Source organism: Homo sapiens, chromosome 19, assembly GCF_000001405.40.
Source record: "Homo sapiens chromosome 19, GRCh38.p14 Primary Assembly".
Lineage (NCBI taxonomy): Eukaryota > Metazoa > Chordata > Mammalia > Primates > Hominidae > Homo > Homo sapiens.
In genome coordinates, this window is record NC_000019.10 from 12,157,662 (window position 1) to 12,163,036 (window position 5,375).

At 48.4% G+C, this 5,375-nt stretch overlaps 1 annotated feature.

Moving 5' to 3' along the window:
- Positions 5,276–5,365: an enhancer, noted in NCBI's record as "active region_14045". NCBI's record gives its function as "activates an Ori minimal core promoter by ATAC-STARR-seq in GM12878 lymphoblastoid cells {active_cell/tissue: GM12878}" and the evidence as "EXISTENCE:reporter gene assay evidence [ECO:0000049][PMID:35858748]".

Sequence of the window (5,375 nt, forward strand, 5' to 3'; positions counted from 1 at the left end):
CGAGGTCAGGAAATCAAGACCATCCTGGCTAACACGGAGAAGCCCCGTCTCTACTAAAAATACAAAAAATTAGTCGGGTGCGGTGGCGGGCGCCTATAGTCCCAGCTACTCGGGAGGCTGAGGCAGGAGAATGGCGTGAACCCGGGAGGCGGAGCTTGCAGTGAGCCGAGATTGCGCCACTGCACTCCAGCCTGGGCGACAGGGCTAGACTGTCTCAAAAAAAAAAAAGAAAGAAAAAGAAAAAGAAAATCTGTGAAGGTCAGAATTAGAGCAAGACCCATTTGGGATGCCTCCTGGAGAAAGGGTTTATGAATTTTTATTTATTATTTTATTTTATTGTATTTATTATCATTTTTTTTGAGACGGAGTCTCGCTCTGTCGTCCGGGCTGGAGTGCAGTGGCGCAATCTCGGCTCACTGCAAGCTCCGCCTCCCGCCCGGGTTCATGCCATTCTCCTGCCTCAACCTCCCAAGTAGCTGGGACTACAGGCGCCTGCCACCACGCCCGGCTAATTTTTTGTATTTTTAGTAGAGACGGGGTTTCACCGTGTTAGCCAGGATTGTCTCGATCTCCTGACCTCGTGATCCGTCCGCCTCGGCTTCCCAAAGTGCTGGGATTACAGGCGTGAGCCACCGCGCCCTGCGGGTTTATGAATTTAACAGTAAATTTAGCTTAAACTGACTCAAGTCGAGAGCTTCCTGTTGGTGAAAATGAAGGTCTTAAAGGAGAGAATAATTTCTAAACTGAGGAGGGGACAGAAGGGCATTTCAAACTCCCAGATAAATCCTTAATTTTCTCTGCCTCATCATCTGGGACTGACCCGCCCTGGGGGGCTCCATTTCAGCAGTCACAGTTTGGCTTCCAAGCTTGGAAATATCATTTACCTTCTGACAGAGGGTTTTCCTTGTGAACTGTGCATGAAGCAGGCTGCTTATCTGAACTACTTCAAATGTTTGCTTTACTTTTCTTTTGATTCCTTTATAAAATATTGCTGCCGGCTGGGCGCGGTGGCTCACGCCTGTAATCCCAGCACTTTGGGAGGCCGAGGCGGGCGGATCACGAAGTCAGGAGTTCGAGACCAGCCTGACCAACATGGTGAAACCCCGTCTCTACTAAAAATACAAAAATTAGCCGGGCGTGGTGGCACACGCCTGTAATCCCAGCTACTCAGGAGGCCGAGGCAGGAGAATCGCTTGAACCCGGGAGATGGAGGTTGCAGTGAACTGAGATTGTGCCACTGAACTCCAGCTGGGCGACAGAGCGAGACTCCGTTTCAAAAAAAAAAAAACATATATATATATATATATATATATATATATATATATATATACACACACACACTTATATATGTGTTTGTATATATACACATATATGTGTATATATACAAACACATATATAAGTATATATATACACATATATGTATATATATGTGTATATATATAGCTGCCATATAATTCCAGCTTTTCCATGCACTTAGTTTTATTCTGTTGTTGGCTTGTTGTTTTCTTGAGTGAAAATGAGTAGACTGAGAGATAAAGTATGAAAAATCTTTGGCTATCCCTCATCCCAAATTTATAATCTCTGACGACATCAGGCCTCTCTCCTCTTCCAGTGTTGGCCTGACTAGACCTCAAGGCAGACAACCTCCCCACCTCAAACCCCCTCCCCCCACCCCCACCTCCCCTGAAAGAAGGGCCCACTGAGTACAGGAAGACAACAGTGTCAGCTCTGGAAAGCCTGAAACATATTCTGAAATACCAGTATCCCCAGGGTGGGGGCCAGGCTGCAGTGCAAGGAGGAAATCCGGCTGTGGCTAGAATCTATATTTTTCTTTTCTTTTCTTTTCTTTTTTTTTTTTTTCGAGACAGGGTGTTACTCTGTCACCTAGGCTGGAGTGCAGTGCGCTGATCATAGCTAACTGCAGCCTCTACCTTCAAGGTTCAAGCAATCCTCTTTACTCAGCCTGCTAAGTAGCTGGGACTATAGTTGCAGGGCCACCAGGCTGGGCTAATTTTTTTTTTTTTTCTTTTTTTTTTAGAGATGAGGTCTCACTACGTTGCTCAAGCTGGTCTTGAACTCCTGGCCTCAAGCAGTTCTCCTTTCCAGCCCTCCCCGAGTCCTGGGATTGTATAGGTGTGAGCCACATGTCGGGCCTAGAACCTTTCATTCAAGCTCCACTCAGCCAGGTGTTAAATTCTCCTCTCACTCCGCCTCCCAGAAGGCGGGGCCCGTGGCACTGTCCAATCAGGAGGGGCGGGGGGGTGTGGCTGTGCAAATTGTCCAATCAGGCGCGGCTCTGGGAGGAGGCCGCGAAGCTCCATAAAACTGCGAGGCGTTCCTTTCACCCGCCCACAGTGGGTGTCAGGTCTATGCTGCTCTGAGAAGCACCAGAGGTGGCTTCGCTGCAGCTTCTTTCCAGCTGTGACTTGCAATGAACACGAAAGACATAAGGAGAACCATAGACACCTCAGAAGCCAGGAAATGGTGAGTGCTGGGGGGATGTCCCGAGACTGTGGAGCAAGGTGCTGGACAGGAACCTGCTGTGACGGGACCCAGGCCTGTCCGGGGCGACTTCGGGACCGGTGGACTGGAGTCCCCCTAGCGCAGCCACCGCGCCCGATTTAAGAGAGAATTTTCAATGGCTAAACTGCACATGTACATCTCCTGACACAGAGCACCTGGTGACAACCATCAACTGTGAAGGTCAGGGAGCTGCTGAAGCAGAAGAGAGTCCATATTTCATTAGTTTTTTTTTTTTTTTTTGGAGACGGAGTCTCGCTCTGTCGCCCAGGCTGGAGTGCAGTGGCGCGATCTCAACTCACTGCAACCTCTGCCTCTGGGGTTCAAGCAATTCTCCTGTCTCAGCCTCCCGAGTAGCTGGGACTACAGGCGCACACTGCCACGCCCAGCTAATTTTTTGTATTTTAGTAGAGACAGAGTTTCACCGTGTTGCTCTTGTTGCCCAGGCTGGAGTGCAATGGTGTGATCTCAGCTCACGGCAACTTCCGCCTCCCAGGTTCAAGCGATTCTCCTGCCTCAGCCTCCTGAGTAGCTGGGATTACAGGCACGCGCCACCACGCCTGGCTAATTTTGTACTTTTAGAGACGAGGTTTCTCCATGTTGGTCAGGCTGGTCTCGAACTCCTAACCTTAGGTGATCCGCCCGCCTCGCCCTCCCAAAGTGCTGAGATTACAGGCGTGAGCCACCGCGCCCGACCTTCATTAGTGGTTTTATATAACAGTTTGTTAATGTCGAAATAATAGTTTGCTGGCTTCTTCATTTTATCAAAGGAATAATTATTTGCCAGTTTTAAAATCCACTTAAAACTGTCTTGAAATTTTTCTCTTCTACTTTACGGTAAACACAGGAGGAAAGCAGGGACTCTGCTGGATTCTCTTTCGAACACTGGGATTGAGGGTGTTTGCCTCGTGGAACTGAACAATGTGGGTGAAAAGCAGGTGGAAAACTTGCAGGGGGCAGCATAGCCTGAGGCCGGTGATCCACACTGAGACTAATCTGGAGCCTGCAAAGGGAGGGAAAGGGAGCTCCCCCGATTGCTTCCTGGGCAGCCTGCCTTCCCCTGTAGGTAGTCTCCAGCTGCTCCGAACAGCTCCAGCTCCAGCTCCAGGAGTGTGGATTCTGAGAAGCTGCAGAGCCCTGGAAAGCAGGAACTTCACAGGCAAATGCACGTGCGGGTTTCTCTCCTTTCTGAGGTTGTACCTCTAGTTTCCCAAGGTAGTTTTCCGGAAAACTTTTTGTTTTTTGAGACGGAGTCTTGCTCTGTCACCCAGGCTGGAGTGCAGTGGCGCGATCTCGGCTCACTGGAACCTCTACCTCCCGGGTTCAAGCGATTCTTGTGCCTCAGCCTCCCCAGAAGCTGGGATTATAGGCGCCCGGCTAATTTTTGTAATTTTAGTAGAGACGGGGTTTCGCCATCTTGGCCAGGCTGGTTTTGAACTCCTGACCTCAAGTGATCCGCCCGCCTCGGCCTCTCAAAGTGTTGGGGATTACAGGCATGAACCACTGTGCCCGGCCTTGATTTTTCTATGTATAGAGTTGCTGCAGTCAGGCTGTAATTTGTATATATGAAGAAAATATGTAAAGATCATATTTAGAGACTCATTTAGGTAGCGTTCCAGAGAAATGGTTTATGAGCTAGAGAGGTTGGAATTTCAAGGGGCCTAAATTGACCACAGGTGAGAGTTTTCTGCTGGTGTAAATTATTAAGGTATTGAAGGAGGGAGCGTTCCCACATTGTGATGCTGTGACAGGAGGGCATGTTGAGCTCCCAGAGTTAAATCCTTAGGTTTCCTGCCTCATCATCAGGGTCTAATGTACTCTGTGGCTCCACTTCAGCAGTCACTGACTCTTAAGCTTGGGAATATGTTCTACCTTCTGAATTCATCTTTTCCTTTTTAAATGTTCTGAAGTGCCCTGCTTATCTGAGCTAGTTCAAATTTTCGCTTTACTTCCCTTTTGATTTCTTTACAGATTACGGAAATAGAACTTGTTTTTCCATGTATTTAATAATTTTATTCACTTGTTGGCAGTTTTTTATTTTCTTGGGTGAAAATGAGTAGATTGATTTGGGAGGCGAAAGTGGGAGGTTCACTTGAGGCTAGGAGTTCAAGACCAGCCTGGACAACAAACGAAATCCCGTCTCTACAAAAAATTAAAGAATTTGCCGGGCTTGGTGGCATGTACCTGTAGTCTCTACTACTCAGGGGACTGAAGCGGAAGGTTCGCTTGAACCCAGGAGATGGAGGCTGCAGTGAGCTATGATCATGCCATTGCACTCTAACCTGGGTGGCAGAGCTAGACCCTGTCTCAAATAAATAAATAAAGTAATAAATAAGTAAATAAAGTAATAAATAAGTAAATAAAGTAAAAAATAGAGAGAGATAAAGAGGTATGGTATGAGAAAGCCTTGGGCACGCTTCCCATATCCTCATCCCAAATTTCCGATCCCTGGGAATATCACGCCCTTTCTTCTGTTCCAGTCCTGCCTGGAACTCCCTGCGCACACCTGTGACTCCTCATGCAAGAGGTAGATGAAGAAATGACCCACTGAGTACAGGAAGTATCTCCTTTGGTAAACCCGGATTAAGTTCTGCTAAAATGCAAGTATCTCCCATCTCCCCATCCCCCGCAGACCAAGTACAGTGAAGGGGACGAGGGGAAGAAGTCCACCCTGCGTTTGAGGGCTGGGGCCAAGACCCCTCATTCCCGCTTCACTCATCTATGCTTCACATCTCCTGTCATTCACATCTGTCAAGATGCAGGGGGCAGAGCCCGAAGCTGTACCCAATCAGGGGCACCGGGGAGGAGCTCTGCGATCGGTCCAATCAGGCGCGCCGTCGGGGACGCAGCTGCAG